This window comes from Homo sapiens, chromosome 1 (assembly GCF_000001405.40).
Source record: "Homo sapiens chromosome 1, GRCh38.p14 Primary Assembly".
NCBI lineage: Eukaryota > Metazoa > Chordata > Mammalia > Primates > Hominidae > Homo > Homo sapiens.
This window is the reverse complement of record NC_000001.11, coordinates 218,279,796-218,300,628: the sequence shown is the minus strand read 5'-3', so window position 1 is coordinate 218,300,628 and position 20,833 is coordinate 218,279,796. Positions and strand designations below refer to the sequence as shown.

The 20,833-nt window shown below is 40.3% G+C and overlaps 1 protein-coding gene across 4 annotated transcripts in view, besides 2 other annotated features; it reads right to left on the bottom strand.

The window, feature by feature from the left end:
• RRP15 (ribosomal RNA processing 15 homolog) overlaps positions 1-15,336 on the bottom strand; it is a 52,691-nt gene extending 37,355 nt beyond the window's left edge. For all 4 annotated transcript variants that reach the window (XM_047421798.1, NM_016052.4, XM_047421797.1 and 1 more), the window contains exon 1: positions 15,174-15,336. In XM_047421798.1, the coding sequence (XP_047277754.1) occupies positions 15,174-15,312 (139 nt within the window). In that variant the 5' untranslated portion in view covers positions 15,313-15,336. The remainder of the gene's footprint in view (positions 1-15,173) is intronic.
• Positions 15,079-15,358: an enhancer, noted in NCBI's record as "active region_2540". NCBI's record gives its function as "activates an Ori minimal core promoter by ATAC-STARR-seq in GM12878 lymphoblastoid cells {active_cell/tissue: GM12878}" and the evidence as "EXISTENCE:reporter gene assay evidence [ECO:0000049][PMID:35858748]".
• Positions 15,889-15,958: an enhancer, noted in NCBI's record as "active region_2539". NCBI's record gives its function as "activates an Ori minimal core promoter by ATAC-STARR-seq in GM12878 lymphoblastoid cells {active_cell/tissue: GM12878}" and the evidence as "EXISTENCE:reporter gene assay evidence [ECO:0000049][PMID:35858748]".

Here is a 20,833-nt window from a genome sequence, read left to right as displayed (position 1 = left end):
ATCAGCTTATTGTTATGACCAAAGTAAATGGAAGACAGTGTATAGTCAGGTATTACCTTCTGAGTGATCCCCTCTACTCTCTTGACTTTAAGCCATAAAAAGACCTGACTTTTAGCAAGTGATTACAATACTTGCAATTTGGGCATTATTTTTGCGTAATACCTTTATTTTTTCAGTGCTGAAAATTCATGAAACAAAAAATGATGTAAAACATTAATACGTTTCAAGTAAAAATTAATAACAAATTAGAAAGTAGGAAATAAAAACATGCCTATATAAAAATGAACCTCGAGCATGAGTAAAAATAAAGTATCTTCAAAAAACTAACTGAACATTACATAGCAAAGAACAATAACATTTCACATTTTTTAAAAGCATGATCTTAAAACACGAAATGCCAACAGTATAAAAGAAAATGTTATAAAGACAAGAAATCACTTGCAATTCTATCATGCTAATAGAGCTGCATATTTCTTAATAAAGACAAAAAAATTAATGAAAACATTTAATTTGAAGTTTTTTCTGTATCTTATACGCTGGGTCAATTTAAGAAATCTGAACACATTTGTGACTCTAGGCTTTAACATACAAATATAGTTAATATATAAGAACCTTATTATTGCCCATAACACTAAAAAAAAAGGTATCTAAATTAAAAGCTGGCAGCACTATTAACAAATTCAATAAAAGACTGAATTATTTTATTCCAGGGCCACAAAATGTTTCCCCAAGAGGCATCTCCTAGGACCAGTGTACCCAGGAAAGTACACTGGAAAACAAAGTTTGAAGAATATAGTTAGCTGAAAACTGTATTATTTTAATACTGTATATGTTTTACTCTTCAGAGTCAGTAGCATTACACAGACACTAATAACAAAATAAACAATTCTTAGAAAAAGTGCTTCCTGTAGTAAGTATTTAACTAAATGTAAGGAGGCAAGATGGCTTAAAAGTTTGGGTCAATAAAAAAATATCTTGGTGATTAAAAGCAGAAAAATCTTGACTAGCTCCTGGTAACATGTCAGAACTGCAACACTGACATCTAGTGTTTTGTCCTGATGTATTCACACACAAATTGCCACAGATTTCATGTTTTTCAATGGTACTGTAAAGGCAGCCAAAGCAAGCCGAAACACTTTCTGATGGTGTAACCCACACCAATTCTCCACTTCAAAACCATGGCTATTTTTCTTTGGTGCATTTCTTACCCCGCTTGACTACCACAACATGCATAATATGAACACACAATAAATCCATGAAAAGTTTATAGCACCATTTTATACAACCTGCACTCACCCCACCAATTAAAAAAATATCCAGAAGAATTCCCTTAAGTCATGGTTTTATTTTATTATTTTCTTAAAGAAGCTCTATCTCAGAAGTTTTTAATCAGGCATTCACTGACAATGAAAATGATGACATTTAATATGAACAAATTAAAAATGCCAAAGTAATGAAGTCTCCCAGCATACTAAAAAAATAGGATTTACTTCTAGGATATCAAAGATTATCACTATGCAAACCAGAAAATAGAACTGGCTCAAAATATTATTATATCCTAATCAAATGAGGTTTTTAAAAAAATTTTCCACTCACTGATTTATAACAGCAGAAGCAGATATATCCAGGTGTCTAAGGGCATAGACGGAAATCACCAGACAAGTAAAAAATGCCTTTGAAGTCCTGTGTGTTGCCTTAAACATTAATTTTGCATTCTACTATAAAAATCTGGAACTTAAAGGACTACAAAGGATGCTTATTGAAGTAATGACTAAAAGTTCCAATCATGGCAGTGTTCTCTATTAAAGCTGCTCAGTAGCCACTAGCCACAAGAGCCTATTGAGTATTTCAAATGTGGCTAGCACAACTGAAGAACTGAATTTTTATTTTCTTTAATTACCTTAAATTTAAATCACATGTGGCTAGAGGCTACCATATTGAACAGAGCAGGGCTAAACCTCCGACGTACTGAGGTAGTCATAACGCATTTCTTATCTCCTGCTGCCTTTTCCCCCAAACCTCCAGCTCCCTTTCAAACTTGCCATCTGTTCCCTGACCCCAGATACGAATGGTTAGCTGCTGGCAGGAAAGTGAGCCATTTTCCTTAGCCTGGGATAAAGTTTTAAGAAGGCTCACAGTCCCTCAACATTCACTGAGCACTTATGAGTGATGGCCAAGAAAGGACAAAGGAAAAATCTAAATCTAGGTTTCTCTCCTTGAAGAACTCAGGAGTTTAGTAGGGTGAATAAATTACATAGCCAAATTGTAATAGAATTTGTAGGTGTTCTTAAAGAAAAACAATGAGGAAAGGGTGACCAGAGATATCTGGGATGGCTTAGAGGAAGTTTTACAAAGATGATATTCAAGTTGTTTCTTAATGCAAGAATTTGAATGACAAAAGAAAGGAGGAAGCCAAGGAAGTAAGATTCCATAACCCAAGCCAGTTGATCAGACGGCAAGATCACTGAACCTAGAACCAAACACATCCTAGATTTGAGTCAGTGCTCTGTATGAAAATCAAAATTACTATTGTAATCATATTATTATTGGCATTCCAGGCAGAAGAAATCAGCATGTCCAAAGGGATAGGAATGTTAAAGATGATGAAATATTTATAAAATGACACCAAGTTGAGACTGGCTGAAACAAAAGATTTGAGAATTGGATGGTAAAAATTGGGCATAAAGAAAGTAAGTTTGGGATTTCATAAAAGCATGATTTATGATCCAAGAAATGCAATACACATCAATTCCAAGATTAAAACCAAGTAGTTTAAAAGTTCATACTCCAGGTGTGTGCTTCCAATAAAAGGCCAAATAGCTGGAATTTTTTCTCTTAGCACTTATCTTAAGTCCTTACTTTTAAAAACATTCTCTATTACAGTTTTTCTTTTAAAATGTAAATACCACCTGAAAGTGGTAAGCCTATTGGTTAACCTTTAACTTCCTTCACACCTTTAAAATTTGCCCTAAGTCAAACAGAACTCCCGGTAAAAACGTGATTGAGGACAGTTAGTAAGGGACAATGAAGTAAGGCTACCAGGATTCAATTTCAACTCCACACACTAATCTAAGTGGCTTTTCTGACATTAAGTCTTCTGTCTTAGTTTCTTCATCTGTAAAAATAGGAATAAAATGGTACTTCATTGGGTTTTCATAATTAAAATATGTAAAGTTCTTTGAGTGCCTACCCCTTAGTAAGCACCACTTAAATGCTGATTACACACCACACACACATGCAGAAATACACTCACAGACACATACAATGAGAATTTTTATGTGGCTGTGGTAGAGAAGGAGAAAGAAACAAGGAAGGAATGCCTCTGGTACTGGGAATCTTGAATTCATGTGAGGTGTTAAATGAGAAGCTTTAGATGACTAGAGAGTTATAGCATAGGGGTTAAGAGCTCAGATTACTGAATTAGACTTGGGGTGTTATGTTCTTATTCCAGTACTTTCTAATAGCCTAGTTTTGGGTAAGTTACCTAACCCTTCTGTGTCTCAGTTTCTTTATCAGTAAAACAGGGATAAAAACAGTAACTACTTCACTGGGTTGCTATGATGATTAAATATGATAACACATGAAAAGCGCTTAGCACAGACCTGGCACAATAGTAGGCACTAAATAAATGATAATCAGTAATCAGAGGACAGACAGAGATCCTGAGGACCTGGGGAACAGAGAAGAGAGCTTAAAAATTGATGTCAAGAAATAGAGGGAAAATAAGTGTGACTTCAATTATAAAAGTGCTGCCTAAGTCTTGTTATAGTTTATAACTCGTATGCCAGGGAATCATCACATGCAGGCCACCTTTTGCTTATTTCAAGAGTGGCCAATGTCTCTGTGCTACAACCTTTCCAAAGTACTGTAAAATAATGATAATACTAACTAGCTAACATGTAGTTAGATGTAGGCACTATTTATAAAGCACTTTTTATGTATTATCATTTCACAACACTTATTTTCTTTTCCTTTTTTTTTTTTTGAGACAAGGTCTCACTCTGGCGCCCAGGCTGGAGTATAGTGACAGAATCTTAGCTCACTGCAGCCTATCTCCCAGGCTCACACAATCCTCTCCTTTCAGCCTCCCAAGTAGCTGGGACTATAGGCACACACCACCACGCTGAGCTAATTTTTTGTAGAGATGAAGTCTCACTATGTTGTCCAGGCTGGTCTTGAACTCCTGGGCTCAAATGATCAACCCACCTCAGCCTTCCAAAGTGCTGGAATTCAGGAGTAAGCCACCACACCCAGCTCATTTCACAACATTTCTATGAGTTGCTTTTATTATTGTATTTACACAGGTGATGATTCTGAAGCTTAGAAAAGTTAAAAACATGCTCAAAGTCAAAAAGGCAAAGCTAACGGGGCTGTCAACTTGTGAGACACTACAAAGTTTTGTATCAGAGATTCAATTTGGACTAATGTGTACTGAACTAATGTAACTACTCATTAAATATTTTAAAACATAGTTTAATAAAGCTTGAATTTAAAAAATTTCTATCTAAGCCTCAGTTAAGCTGAACAGTCTGCTCACCATCCTCATTCTGATTTTACCTAAGTATACATATCCCCCTAGTTATTCAAGGCTCTCTAAAACTACTGCTCCCCATTCAGCTGTAAATCATCTGTTCTGCTCATGCCACATGGTCTTTCCTGCCAATTACTAAATTTAGAATATTCAAAATTGATGCTTTAAAACTTCAAAAAAAAAAAGTTACCTTTGAAAAAATGAAGTCATCCCAGGTTTCCATAAAAATAACCAAAAATAAAATGATAGTGGTACCATGGGAAAACACTTTCAGATGTGATTACATGTGCTATTGGGCAAGCCAAAACAGATAGACTCTGGAAGTAGTCTGTTTCCTGAGCCTGTCTTATAAATTGCTAAACCACTCAAGTAGGACTATGATATACTTCATTTCTTAGGCATGTTCCTTTGCTATTTCAAGTAACTTAAATGATAAAGGAGGCTATAAGCTACAGTTTGATGAAAAGCACATTTATCCACTAGGTTATTATATCTTAAATACAGCATTGTAGTTTATCAAAAATGAAGGGATATCTCCTAGGACCTTCTAACCTGAATTGTTATCAAGTCTTTTGTTATAAGTAGATGGCCATTTTTCACATACATAACAAGAACAATTCAGGCTTTTTAGCTGCCTGGAAAACCTGAAATGATATTCCTTATTGTTTTATAGTCATATGGGCACATTCTATGAGGGAGGAGTCAATCAGATCACAGCCCCGAGTAACAATCAAGGCTTCTTTTTTTTAACCTGGGTTGATTTACAGACAACAGACGCTTCCCCCGCACCCTGTCCCAAGACTACAATCTTAAGAACCTAGTTAGAGTTGCATCTTAACTTCCATAAATCTGAGTAGCTCAAGGATAACTCAGAGGTAGGGGCTATCATCTTACCCTTTATCATACTTGATATCATCAACCACTGTTATTTTTTCACCTGAGGTGATTTACTGACTAGGAAGACTGTTTTTCTGTTTTGGGGTTTTTATTGTTTTAAGACTACAAGCTTAAGAACCGAGTATATATTGTATCTAAACTTCCAACAAGGTATCAAGTCAATAAATTTGAGTAGTTCAGGGATAACTCAGGTAGGGCCATCACCTTCCCCTCTATAACACTTGTCATTTATATATTACTTAAAATGCAGACTGTAGCACTTTACCTTCTGTGATACTGTGAAATATCTATTTGGTCAACTCCTAAAATCCTTGGAATCTCCAAAGGAGTATCTTCTTGTATGCTAATGATTGAGGGCTGGTAGCCCCAAGGCAGCTTCAGGATCAGGGCTGGTCACCAGATGCACCAAGACAGGAATAGAAGTTTGGGACTTTCAGCTCCATTCCCCAACCTCTGGGAAGGGAGGGAAGCTGAAAGTTAAATGAGTCACCTCGATGATTTAATCAACCATGCTTATGTAATGAAGTCTCCATAAAACATTAAAAAAAAAACAGGGTTCAGAGAGCTTCTGGATAGCCGAACTCCTGGAGGTTCCTGCAGGACGGCACACCCAGGGAGGGCATGGAAGCTCCACACACCTTCACCCTATACTTCACCCTATGCATCTGTTCATCTGTATCCTCTGTAATATGCTTTATAATAAACCCATAAACTTAAGTGTCTCCCTGAGTTCTGTGAGTTGCTCTAGAAAATTAATCGAACCCAAAGGGAAGATTATGGGAACCCCAATTTTAAGTCAGTTGGTCAGAAGTTCCAGAGGTCTGGATTTAGGACTGGTATCTGAAGGGTTTGGGCAGTCTTATGAAGCTGAGCCCTCAGTCTGTGGGGTCTGACACTACCTCCAGGTAGATAATGTTGAAATGAATTGGAGAGCAAACAGGTGGTATCCACTGCAGAATTGATTACTTGCTTAGGGTGTGAGAATGAATCCATACACATTTAATCACAGAAGTCTTCTGTGATGATTGTTGCTGTTGAGTGGCTGAGTGAGAAAATAGAGAAAAGCACACTGAGTGGTGTTTTTTCCACATTCACCGGCTGTATATCTCTAATTCGTGATCCCCTTCAATTTTATTATGATCAAATTTCAAATCGTACTGACAGTACTGCAATTCACCAAAAATTCAATCTTAGTCATTTTGCTATTATTCAAGTTGATATATATAACTGCTAATTTCACCTCCATGATAATCTAGTATATGAGAAAAGAGTATTAAAAAAATCATGTTAAGAGAAATTTCCAATTTATTCAGTGAATAAATGGATATCAAGTACTACACCATGAATCAGGCTCTATGTCAAACTGAGATATAGCTGTCCTCACAGTAACAAGGTCTCTGTCCCCATGGAACTTAGGAAACTTCTGCAGTCTAACAAACAATACTTGAGTTTTGAGTTTTGTTCTCATGAAAGCACACTCTTCTACTTTTCTTATACAATATGTGAAAAGAAATTAAAGCCAGAAAAATAAAATTCAAACAACATATGGGTTATATCTGGGTTTTCTATGAAACTCAAGTAGCGTCTTACTAAAGGAAGTTTTTCAAATGTCGATATAGGGCACATCCCTATCAATTTTTATAATCCAGTTAAAATTCAAAGATAAGTGCCTGATTCAGTTTCCTGATAAAACAAGTCAGTACTCTTTAAATATATCTGTAATTTACACACTGATTCCTCATAGGTCTGAAGACTCTGCCTTTATAGTTTCTCAGTACTATCATATAAAAGTTTTTGATAACTTAATAGTTTAACCAAGACCACATGTATACAACTACCTGACTAGAAAATCCACCTCCATGGGTCACCTTTACAGAAATACTTAATTTCATGAGCGGAAAACAGCAATTTCTTATATTAAATAGCAAATTCTGAGTTAAGCCAAAGAAGAATTGTCCCATCTTTAACCAACAGACCTATATTACTAACTGTATTAAATAAAGGACTCTTTAACCAGGCATGGTGGTGTGCACCTATGGTCCCAATTATTAAAAGGCTGAGGCAGGAGGATTGCTTGAGCATGGGAATTGGAGGTTACAGTGAGCTATGATCATGCCACACTGCACACCAGCATGGGCAACATACCAAGACCCTGTCTCAAAAAAAAAAAAATAAGAAAAAAAAGTTTTAAAATAATAAGTAAAATATATGATCCTTTATTATTTATCTATATTGCAGAGATAGGAAAATTTGTAAAAGACAAAGTGGAGGAGACATTTAAGTTGAAACCTAAAGGATAGAGAAAAGCTGGTTAAGAGAAAGTAAAGAATAAAAAGAGTATGCCAATAGAGTACCATAAGCACGACTAGAAAGACAGAGAGCAGACTGTATTCCAGAAACTAGTTCAGAATGCTATGACCCTAGTCGTCTAGGGAATGACAAGATGTGAGCCTGAGAGGCAAGCAGTGGTCAGATCACACAGGTTGGGTATGCAGACTGTTGCCAGTTTACAAGGAGATTCAGTCAGTCAATCACTGTTATTTGTGGATTCTGTATTTGAGAATTCACTAACTCAGTAAAATGTATTCGTAACCCCAAATCAATACTCATGGCACTTTTGCAGTCATTCACAGACATGCTTAGAGCAGTGAAGGGTTGGAGTCTCCCTACATGCACACTCCTAGCTGAGGCTGAAGGAGACACTCTGCCTTGTTTTAACTTTCTCATTGTAAACTGGTGTTCTTCCTACAGCTATTTAGTGCCACATTTTTTCCATTTCTGTGCTTTTTCTTGGCTACAGCAATGTTTAAAATGGCCCACAAGCATAATGCTGACGGGTTGTGCAGTGTCCCTAAGCACAAGGATGCAATGTGCCTCTCAGAGAAAATATGTGTTGAATAAGCTTTTTTCAGGCACGTTATTGGCCATCCATGAGTTCAAATGTTAATGAATCAACAAAGTATATTAAATATAACTATTATTATCCACTTCCTCTAACAGTACAGTATGCCCAAAATGTATGGTGCTATGAGTTTGCATTAAAGTTTGTTGTTTGAAAAATTGAAGGCTGGGTGCAGTGGCTCATGCCTGTAATCCCAACACTTCGGGAGGCCGAGGCAGGAGGATCACTTGACCCCAGGAGTTTGGGAACAGCCTGGGCAACAGAGTGAGACCCATCTTTACAAAAAATGAAAAATTAGCTGGACATGATGGCACGCACTTGTGGTCCTAGCTACTTTGGAGGCTGAAGTGGGAGAACTGCTTGAGCCTGGGAGGTTAAGACTGCAGAGAGCTCTGATTATGCCACTGCACTCCAGCCTAGGCAACAGACCAAGACTTTGTCTTAAAAAAAAAGGGGGTGGGGAGTGGGGGGCCAGCCGCGGTGGCTCACGCCTGTAATCCCAACACTTTGGGAGACCAAGGTGGGTGTATCATGAGGTCAAGAGATCCAGACTATCCTGGCCAACATGTTGAAACCCCGTCTCTACTAAAAATACAAAAATTAGCCGGGCGTGGTGGCACGTGCCTGTAGTACCAGCTACTCGGAAGGCTGAGGCAGAAGAATTGCTTGAACCTGGGAGGCGGAGGTTGTGGTGAACCGAGATAGCACCACTGTACTCCAGCCTGGCAACAGAACGAGACTCCATCTCAAAAAAAAAAAAAAAAAAAAAAGGAAAATTCAATGATTTCTTTCTTTTTTTTTTCCTTTTTCTTTAATCTCAGAGTTTTGTTTTTAAAATTTATTTATTCATTTTTGAGACAGAGTCTCACTCTGTCAGCCAGGCTGGAGTGCAGTGGCACAATCTTGGCCCACTGCAACCTCTGCCTCCCAGGTTCAAGTGATTCTTATGCCTTAGCCTCACAAGTAGCTGGCACTACAGGCATACACCACCATGTTGGGCTAATTTTTTGTATATTTTTTTTTTGGTAGAGATGGGTTTTGCCATGTTAGCCAGGCTGGTCTCAAATTCCTGACTTTAAGTGATCTGCCCACCTTGGCCTCCCAAAGTGCTGGGATTACAGGTGTGAGCCACCATGTCCAGTCTAAATTTTTTATTTTTTGGGACAGGGTCATGCTGTGTCACCCAGGCTGGAGTACAGTGGCACAGTCACAGCTCACTGCAGTCTCGAACTCCCAGGCTCAAGCAACCCTCCCACCTTAGCCTCCCAAGTAGCTGGGATTACAGGCACACGGCACACACCACCATATCCAGCTAGTTTTTTCCATTTTTTTTGTAGTGACGGGGTCTCACTATGTTGCCTAGGCTGGCCTCAGACTCCTGGGTTCAAGCAATCCTCCCACCTCAGCCTCCAAAGTGCTGAGATTACAGATGTATGCCCCCCGCATGTGGCCAAGGAAAATCAAACACTTTCTTTCTGAAAACCATTTCAAGTGGAGCTCTTCTTTGTCTTCAAACAAAAACACACATAAGGCTGGGAGCAGTGGCTCATGCCTGTAATCCCAGCACTTTGGGAGGCCAAGGCAGGCAGATCAATTGAGCTCATGAGTTCAAGACCAGTCTGAGCAACATGGCAAAACCTCATCTCTTCCAAAAATACAAAAATCAGCCAGGTGTGGGTAGTGTACGCCTATAGTCCCAGCTAATCCAGAGGCTGAGGTGGGAGGATGGCTTGAGCCTAACAGGCAGAGGTTGCAGTGAGCCAAGATTGCACCACTGCACTCCAGCAGCCTGGGTAATAGAGCCAGATCTTGTTTCAGAAAACAAAAACAAAAACAAACAAACAAACAAAAAACCCAAAAAAAATCCACATAAGACAAGGTTATGTATTGATAAAATGACAAAAATGTTCTGACCAGAGGCTCACAGGAGCCTAAAACTGTATTTCCTCTAGAAGCAATGGTTCACTAATTCAGGGATTCAGGGTTTCCTGCAACTTTACTGAACATTACTGTAACTAGAATCAACTGCGAATTCACAAATTGAGAGTAAGTATTTATAAACATTTATAGTAATTTGATATTACCATGATGTCCAACAATGTGGTCATGTTTCCAGTTACTCTTTTTCATTGATTTTTTTTAAAAAAAACACCTGTCTATTACAGATTGGAGATTAAAAAACAAAACTCAGAATGGTCCTTCAACATTGATGGTTAAAGAAGCAATTGCCTAGAAGACTGAAGGGAGTAAGGCTGCAATGACAGGCCCAACAGATAGGTACCCTATGAACTAATGTAAACAAAAGAGATGCAGGCAAGGCCAGGCACAGTGGCTCATGCCTGTAATCCCAGCACTTTGGGAGGCCAAGGTGGGTGGATCACCTGAGGTCAGGAGTTCAAGACCAGCCTGACCAACATGGAGAAACTCTGTCTCTACTAAAAATACAAAATTAGCTGGGTGTGGTGGTGCATGCCTGTAATCCCAGCTACTTGGGAGGCTGAGGCAGAAGAATCACTTGAACCCTGGAGGTGGAGGTTGGGGTGACCTGAGATCATACCATTGCACTCCAGCCTGGGCAACAAGAGCAAAACTCCATCTCAAAAAAGAGAGAGAGAGAGATGCGGGCAAGAACTAAAGTAGTGGCAACAGAATAAATGGATTAATTAAACCAAATAGATATGGAAGCAACAGGAAGACTAAAGGATGACACTTGTGTTTCCAGCTTGGATGGGAGTAGATGGCAGTGTCTTTCTTAGAGACAGAAGCAGCTTTGGCAAAGAAAATGTGTCTATGGCATAACCAAGCAGACACAATCAATTGTTATCAACATCGTTATCACTGATCTTGAATTTTACCAAAAATATATGATCTAATGGTTAGATTATGGAATAAAACGAGTGGAATAACAGATAACATCTTGCACCTATGGAGGTAACAGTTTTCTACTAGGAAGCAATATGATATACTGGAAGCACTATTTCCAAGCTTCTTTTCTTATCTGTAAAATAGAAATGCCATCAGCTACCTTACAGGGTTACTAGAATAATTCAAACCTCTTTTCTGGGGAGAGCTCCAGCTTACAAATACCACATTACCAAAGGTGGGAAAACTTATTTGGCAAAAAGAGATGGGACTAGCAGTTTTTTTAGGTCAGAAGAGACATCATCGTCATCACTAATATTTATGAGTGGGTACCATGTGCCAAATATTAAATGCTTACCATATATAAACTCATTTAATTGTTACAACAATCCTAAAGTAGACATTATTATTATCCTCATTTTGTAGATGAGGAAATTGGGGTAGATAATAATAACTAGCACAAAGTCACTCTGAAAGGTAGTACCATCACAGGTGCCTCTTATACAATTGAGTGAACAGGGGAATTTGCTTCCAGAAATAACATATGGATTTTAGGAGAAAGGAAGGAAGGAAAGAATACTCTGGTTATAAACATTGGAAGTGCTATAGAAATCTGAACACAAAAATGTCCCTTGGTGATGAAATCTTCTTGAGTGGGAGGGAGAAAAGTTTGTCTCCATACCAAAGTCTCCTTGTCCCCAATCCTTTCTTTCCTTAGATTCAAAGGCCCAACGCTTTCACTTTCCAGATACTTTTTAAAATTATCTATGTCCTCCTGATTCCTCAAACATATTAAGGTAGTGGTCAAGAGCATAAGCTCTACAATCAAACTTCAATAATTGTTGTATCATTTATCAACTTGCTTATCTGCTTATGTACAGAAGTGGGCAAGTTATAAGCCTCTGTGCCTCAGTTTTTTAAATGTAACAGGAGGATAATAGCAGCATCTATCTCATAGAGTTGTCAGAATTCTCTGAGCTGATATATAGAAGGAACTCAGAACAGAACCAGGCACATAGGAAAGTTCCAAAAGTATAACTATTGTTATTATCCAATTCCTCTAACAGTGTAGTATGCCCAAAACCTATGGTGCTATAAGCTCACATGAAAGTTGCCTGTTTGCAAAATTGAATACTTTCTTTTTGAAAAATATTTCAAGTGGGGCCCTTCTCTGTCTTCACTGCTGTGTCCTAGTGCAGATCCTAACATAGAATTTTGCAATTGCCTACAAACTGTCCTGGCACTCTTTGGCAGTCACCGTACATCTGGCAGTAATATTTATAAACAACTGTCACCATCTTGCTTAAAAGTTCTCAATAGCTCCCTGCTGCCTACAAATACACAAGGCCCTTTATAATCTACTTTTAACCATTGTTTCCAGTTTTACTTCTAGTCACTTCTCTGAACAGCTGGAGCCATAACAGAAGATTACTTTGTCTGAAATAGGCCATGAATTTTAAGAGACCGCATGCCACTGTATATGCTTTTATGTCTGAGAAAACTGCCCTCTATACTCCCAGGTCAGGAAAACTATTCATCCTTCTAAAGCCTAGATAGAATGCCACCTTATACATTTATTCAACAAAACAATTTACTGAATACTAAAGTATGCAAAGAAGACCCTGTGAAAATAAACAAGACATACTTTTGACATTTGGGGAACTTATCTCTATAAGGAGAGAGATATGTTAAAATATAATAACATAGTATATTATCAATAATACACGTAAGATATAAGTAAGCAACGCCTAGGCTGGGTTCCAGAGGATATGAATTTCTCTGTCTCCATCCTTACCTTTCCAAAATTGAACCATGATCTTGAAAACTACCTTTTAATTATACTAATACACTATATTACAGTCCTGTGTTTAATATCTTTCCTAAAACTGAAATTTTAATGCAGAAATATATTCATCCTTTGTATCCTCAACACCTAGAGGGTGACTGGAACCTAAGGGAACACAACAAGTGTTCATTGAATTGAATTAGATAAATTAGGTTTCCATATTGGCCAAAAACCTTTTTAACCCGTAATGTGGCTGATCTATAACAGCAAGAGAACCTTAAAACCTAATCAGCATTTATAATAATACGCTGAAAAGTCAGAACAGTTCCAACTTGGAATTATCCAGTATTTGAATAGAAAAATCCAATTTGGCCAGGTGTGCTGGCTCACACCTGTAATCTCAGCACTTTGGGAGGCCGAGACGGGTGGATCACTTGAACCTAGGAGTTCGAGACATGCCTGGGCAACATGGCAAAATCCCATCTCTACCAAAAAAAAAAAAAAAAAAGAAAAAAAAAATTAGCCAGGTACAGTGGTATGCGCCTGTAGTCCTAGCTACCTGGGGAAGCTGAAGCAAGAGGATCGCTTTGGGGGGCGGTGGGGGAGGAGGTCAAGGTTGCAGTGAGCCCTGTTTGTGCCACTGCACTCTAGCCTGGGTGGCAAAGCAAGACCCTGTCTCAAAAAGAAAAAGAAAAATCCAATTTGTAAGCAGTACTGACATTTTGCTCCAAATATAGCAAATATAGTACTCTTCCCTTCTTGAACAATAGTGTTTGAACTAGTCTAATGAATTTAAAAAATATCAGAACCAGAAGTTCTAATTTTGGCCCAACAAATAGTTTGTTTTCCTTAACAATGTGGCAGGAGATGAAGACTCTAATTACCTAGGAATTGCAGTAGCATATGACACTTTCTTCTTGGTCCTGGAAGTCCAGGTTAATTCATTCATTTACTTAAATATCTGTGAAGGACCCACAAGGCAATAGGAACTGGGGATACAGTAGGCTCTATTTTTATGGAACTTATATTCCAATTGGGAAAGCAGCAAATACATACATCAAATGGTTTGGGCAGGGTTGAGAAAAAATAAAGCAGGGCAATAAGTCAAAAAGTGAAGAAAAGAAGGCAGGAAGAAGAGTAGTGGTGGTACGTTACATAGGGTAGTCAGGGACAAGTCTCTCTGGTAAGGCACTGGATCAGAGGCTGGTGAGGGAGAGACATGCCAAGCATTTGAAAACTATTCTAGGCAGCGGAGCCAACAAATGAAGAAACCATGGTGTGGGAGCATGTTTAAGGTGTTAAACACAAGCATACCGGTATGGCATGATTACAGTTAGTGGTTTGTGAGGGGCATATTGGCCTATGACAGACAACCTGGCCCAAATCATACAGCCTAAGGATTTTGGATATTATATACTGAGATGAGAAGCCACTGGATCATCTCAAACAGACAGCGGGCATAATTAGAAATACGTTATAAAAGAATAGCTCTGTCTGTTTTTTGGGTATCAGCTGGTACAAAGGAGCAATAACTGGGCAGTAGGAAGTCAGGGATTACCTGCAATTCCTTGTAACCTAATAAGCTGGTGCCAAGAATGATGGTAAAGAGGAGCAACAGACACAGCATGGTTGAAAGCCTCAAAAACACATCCTTCCTTCCTTTTATTATCAAGCGTCTCTGAGAGACATAGTTATCAAACACTACCAGTTTTTAATCGACCTTAACCACCAAACTCTTCTTTCATTCACTATTATTTAGTCTCTAAAACACGCACACATCTACCGCACAAAAAGTCAAGTACACCCCCTTCTTCCTCTTACCTCTTTTAACCTTTTGCTTCTTACACCCTATGAGACCCATTCTTCTCCTGTTTTCAAGTACCCTCTTCCTTTCACCCTTTGCTACTGTAAGTTTCTCGGTAGCTGCAGGTGTTTCACCCATTTTATTATAATTAATAATGGTGACCCTGAAAATACCTAGTAAAAGAATGTGGAAACTCAAAATTACAGTTGACAGCGTTACTTCTCTGAACACGACTTCCCCAAGCCTCCTCACTAAGCCAAAGTCGCCCCTCTGAAGTGGTGCCAAGATAAAACCCAGGTGGCTAGCAGCAAATGAAGTCGCAAGCGCTGCTTGACACGAACTCAGCCCCGCCTTTCCTCCCAGACACCAAAGCTCAGCCCTACCACATTACCTTCACTATCAGAAGTGTCTGTGGCCTCGTCTTCCAGCACCGACGCTACGGCTCCAGTTACCATTTTCATCTTCTTCTTTGGGGTCTTTTTCAGGTTTTCTTCCTCACTCACACGTGAGTCCGGAGCGGCGGCTGCCATTTTTCTGCGCCGGAAGCGTCACCTGACAGTTGCGTCCGGTGGCAACCAGAGGAACTTCTGCATTTAGTGCCGGTAACACAAGGTTCCGGGGCGGGGTCGTCTAGCCCAGAGTTCCGGGGCCGGAGCCTCAGAATGTGACTTGGAGAGAGCTCTGAATGGCTCGGTGTGTTTACGCGAAGTCCGTTCCAGGACGAAAATCAGCGGCTGAATGGCCTCAGCCGACTCCTCCGCTAGCTCGCCTGTGCCCTGGTCCTCCGCCCCAGTGCGTCCCCAGCCCGTCCCCAGCCCAGCGCGGTCCACTTTGATTTCCTAGCCTCGGCGGCTTCCCTTGTCTGCTGCCTTAATGTTGGTTTAGTGTCCTCCTCAGGTGTCTCTTACGTGCCCACTGAACGCCGCAGCAGCTAGGACGCGGGACAGATCCACTGGGGGCCGATAATTAGAATACGATCGTATCATCCCCCCGCCCAAGATAACACGCGAGACCTTTCTTGCAAACCGAATAGACTCACCTTCTTTCCCTGGGGCGGGTGTTGAATCCAACCGCACCCTTCTCCCTCGGACCCGGCTGGGGCCTGGAGGGTTTCTGGCGCCCGACTGCGCAGTGCAGACCGAGGGTGCGAATACCTTGCTATCCGCGCGAGGATCCTGCCTCCCACCCGGGGCTAGCTTTTCTCTGAAGTTAGCCTCTGTCACCAGCTCCTAGTTCCATCGAAGCACCTACCACAGTCGGCCTTCATTTTCCCCCCTAAAATGTTGGCTTCTCGCAGGAGGGGAACGTATTTCATTTACCATGTCCCCTCAAGGTTAGCAACAGAAGTTGGCCTGAAGTGAATTTTCCAAAAATATTTTTGGAAGGGATGAATGAATCAATGAATGAGTGACAGAATATAACTATTGACAAAGTTAATGACTCAGATGGATAATGCAGCAAACCTTTACTGGCTAGACTTGTTCTAAAGGCTTTCCCCAAACTTAGCGTTTTCCCTTTCCCCTCTTAAGGAGGTTCATAGATTGTGATACCCATAAGTCAAAAACAAAAACAAGAATCCTCATTTTGACATATTCCAGTAGATGTTTATGTAGGAAATAAATATATATTCACATCCTAAAAACTCAATACAACATTTTTAAACTTGGTTTTTAATTTTTTTGTCTTTTAAGAGAGAGAGGGTCTAGCCGGGTGCGGTGGCTCACACCTGTAATCCCAGCACTTTGGGAGGCTGAGATAAGTGGATCGCTTGAGTCCAGGAGTTTGAGAACAGCCTGGCCAACATGGTGAAACCCCATCTCTACTAAAAATACACAAATTAGCCAAACGCAGTGACGAGTGCCTGTAGTCCCAGTTACTCGGGAGGCTGAAGCAGGAGAATCGCTTGAACCTTGGAGGCGGAGGTTGCAGTGAGCGGAGATCGCGACTCTGCACTCCAGCCTCGGCGACAGAGCGAGACTCTGTCTCAAAAACAAACAAACAAAATCTACCACCACCACCACCAACAACAAAAAATTGTGCAGAAAAAAAATGACATTTTGAATACAGTTGGTAAGAGATGAGATTCCAGTTTAAACCTTTAAAAAGTGCAGGTATTGACCAGGCGTGGTGACTCATGCCTGTATTTCCAGCACCTTGGGAGGCGGAGGCGGGAGGATCTCTTGAGGCCAGGAGTTAAGAGACTAGGCTGGACGACATGGTGAAACCCCGTCTCCACTAAAAATACAAAAATTCGCCAGCCATGGTGGTGAGCACCTGTAGTCCCAGCTACTCAGCTACTCAGGAGGCTGAGGTGAGAATTGCTTGAACCCAGAGGGGCGGGGAGGGGCAAAGATTGCAGTGAGCCAAGATGGCAGGTATGGTGGCTCCAGCCTGTAATCCTGGCTTCTCCAAGGCTGAGATGGGAGGATCACTTGAGTCCAGGAGTTCGAGGCTGCAGTGAGCCATGACTGCACTACTGCATTCCAGCCTGGGTGACAAAGTGAGACCCTTACTCTTGACAAAATAAAAAGGGGTGCACTTTAGAGGTGCCCTTTAGGATGCTGCTGATGCCCAGCAGCTCTCACCATCCTGCTCAGTGTGATCCTTTCATTACCACTGTGTCCTGATCTGGAACCTATTTTTTTGCTGTCTTTCATAGCTAATGCTTGCTTTTGCCTAGGGCTAAATGTAAATTGGAACAAGGAGTTCCAAATAAAGTTGGGAATGCACTGGAGAAAGTTGTAGAGAAGGAAGCAAAGTTAAAAAAAAATGATTGCAGTGGTTCAATGGAAAACATGTTCCTGCATATTAAACACAAAGTTCCTGCATTAATGTTAGTGTTATTTAGTGATCAAGAAGTGATGTTTTGTGCATTTAACATGTTAATGTGAGTTTACGTATATATAGAAATTTTTTTTGTGTTTAGTTGCAATTTAAGAAATTGCCTGGAGGGTAGGAATGGCTGATTTGTTACACATTCACATTTTTCTTCCTTTAAAATAATATAAAATAGGATCCAGGTTTTTATCCAGAAGTCTGATTTTCAGAAATTGATTACTGCTGTTAAGTTGGAGATACCTATGTTAGCTTATTTAATCTTCACAATAAGCTAATGAGTTAAGTACTATTATTTTTTCCATTTTATAGATGAGGAAACAGAGGCACAGGGTAAATAACTGCTGACCGTCACACAACCAGTACATGGCAGAATCACATTCAGACCCAAGCACTCCACTGCAGAGTCTGCTCAACCACGGAGTTGCACTGCCCACTCAGAGGGTTGTGCTTTATCACTTAGCATACAGTCAGAATAGGCAACAAAAATTTCCTTTTTTCTTCCTGTTTTTTCTTTTTTTAAATTTTACTTTACATTCTGGGATACAAGTGCAGAACGTGTAGGTTTCTTACGTAGGTGTACATGTGCCGTGGTGGTTTGCTGCACCTTTCAACCCGTCATCTAGGTTTTAAGCCCTGCATGCATTAGCTATTTGTCCTAACGCTCTCCCTCCTGTCACACCCCAATCCCCGATTGGCCCTGGTGTGTGTTGTTCCCCTTCCTGTGTCCATGCGTTCTCATTGTTCAGCTCCCACTTATGAGTGAGAACGTGTGGTATGTGGTTTTCTGTTCCTGCGTTAGTTTGCTGAGGATGATGGCTTCTAGCTTCATCTATGTCCCTGTGAAAGACATGATCCCATTCCTTTTTATGGCTGCATAGTATTTCCTAATGTCTATGTACCCGCATTTTCTTTATCCAGTCTATCATTAATGGGCATTTAGATGGGTTCCATGTCTTCGCTATTGTAAATAGTGCTGCAATAAACATATGTGTGCCTGTGTCTTTATAGTAGAATGATTTATATTTTTTGGGTATATACCCAGTAATTGGATTGCTGGGTCAAATGATATTTCTGGTTCTAGATCCTTGAGGAATTGCCACAGTTTCTTCCACAATGGTTGAACTAATTTACATTCCCACCAACAGTGTAAAAGCATTCTTATTTCTCCACAGCCTCTCCAGCGTCTATTGTTTCTTGACTTTTTAATAATCACTATTCTGACTTGCATGAGATGGTATCTCATTGTGGTTTTGATTTAGGCAACAGAAATTTCTAACAAGCACTGGAATTCATGAATTAAAAAAATAGTTTCTGCTGTTACAATGAACCAAAATAGCTGACAATATTGAAACGGAATGCCCACTGTATGGTGGAAATAACTGAAGTCACCTAAATGCTTGTGTAAGAGTTTTACAAACAAACCTATGCTAGTTATCAGCTTATTGCCTCTCGGCTCTAAATTCATCCTTTTTGGCTGCTCTGTGAAAATTGAGCTGGGCTCTTAAATATTTTTATTTGCCTGAAGGCCAGATGTTCAGATTTGTCAGTAGAGGGCATTAGAGTGACATTATAAGAAAAAGGGGCCATCTTCCTGGTTCTGATGTGCTTTTCTCTACAGACTCCTGTGGAAACTTCTCCAGCATCAGGGTGCTGAAGTATATTCACGTTCTCCTGTAGCATAGAAGGCTTCTCCAGCATCTGACTCCTGAATGCCTCTAGCGAGACACCTGGCCATCCACAGCTTCTTCTAGCACCTCAAAGGGAAATTTCAGGAAGGCGGATTTTTGAACGAGTTTTTTTGTTTTGCTTTTGTTTTTTAAAGATGAGATCACACTCTGTTGCCTATGCTGGAGTGCAGTGACATGATCTTGGCTCACTGCAGCCTCAAAATTATGGGCTTAAGTGATCCTCCCACCTCAGCCCCCTAAGTAGCTGGGACCACAGGTGCAAGCCACCCCATTGGCAATTTTCAACAAGTTCTGACAGGGCAGTATCACAGCAACTCCTCCGCCACCCAGTGAACCACAACTGTGCCCTCCCACAAGAGCTGTATCTCAGCTGTGGGTAGAAAGATAGGCCTCTTCCTTGGATGCTGCATTTTACAGTGTCACTGCTCCTTATATCTGCCATTACTATATTCTATAGAGTTTACTTAACCTCTTACTAACAATCCCTTTTTACTTCAACCTTCTGATATAGCTAATGATTCTTTATATTAAATTATCCTATTCAAATTACTAAAGCAGTTTCTGTCTCCTGAGTGGCCCTGAATGATATAAATCTAGAATGGGTGTTGTAACGAAAATATCAGCACCCACATACCTTCTTTGCCTGCCTACAGCATGGTTAGAAAGTTTTACGGGGAGTTTCTCACTTTGGGAAAGGCCAGAGGCAGGGTGGTTATGAGAGTTTCCTGTTGAAATGCCAATAGTTATAGAAGAATAACAGATAAAATATTTTTCTTCTGAATAATTTGTGCAGCTTGGCTGATATGAGTGCCTCGAAGTGGTCTAAGCTAATAGACATGGAACAGAAAAGAGAGAGGGGTAATTGCCCAGGGTATCCCAAGCAGAAGGGTGGTCCTCTGGGAAGGTCTGAGCATAAAGCTAACTTGATAGGAGCCCTGGACAGAGATTCTGGTTACAGAATAGTTCTTGGGATTCTCTACATACAGAGGATCTATAAAGGGAGAGAGTAAAGAGAAAGAAGACATCTCAGAATTATAGAGGATACCAGAGCTCCTAGTTGAGAAGGAACGAGAAAGAAAGATCAGGATAGAGAGTTATGAGAAGAGCAGTGCTAAGTCCCTAAACACTAGTGAAATGAAGTCCCCCAAAAAAGAGATTGCCACTGATGTTAAATTCTACTATAGTTGGCCCAGCGCAGTGGCTCACGCCTGTATTCCCAGCACTTTGGGAGGCCGAGGCAGGCGGATCACGAGGTCAGGAGATCGAGACCATCCTGGCTAACACGGTGAAACCCTGTCTCTACTAAAAATACAAAAAAATTAGCCTGGCATGGTGGCAGGCGCCTGTAGTCCCAGCTACTTGGGAGGCTGAGGCTGGAGAATGGCGTGAACCCGGGAGGCGGAGCTTGCGGTGAGCCGAGATCGCGCCACTGCGCTCCAGCCAGGGAGACAGAGCGAGACTCCCTCTCAATGAGGACCAAAAAAAAAAAAAAAAAAAAAAAATTCTACTATAGTCTCAGAGAAAA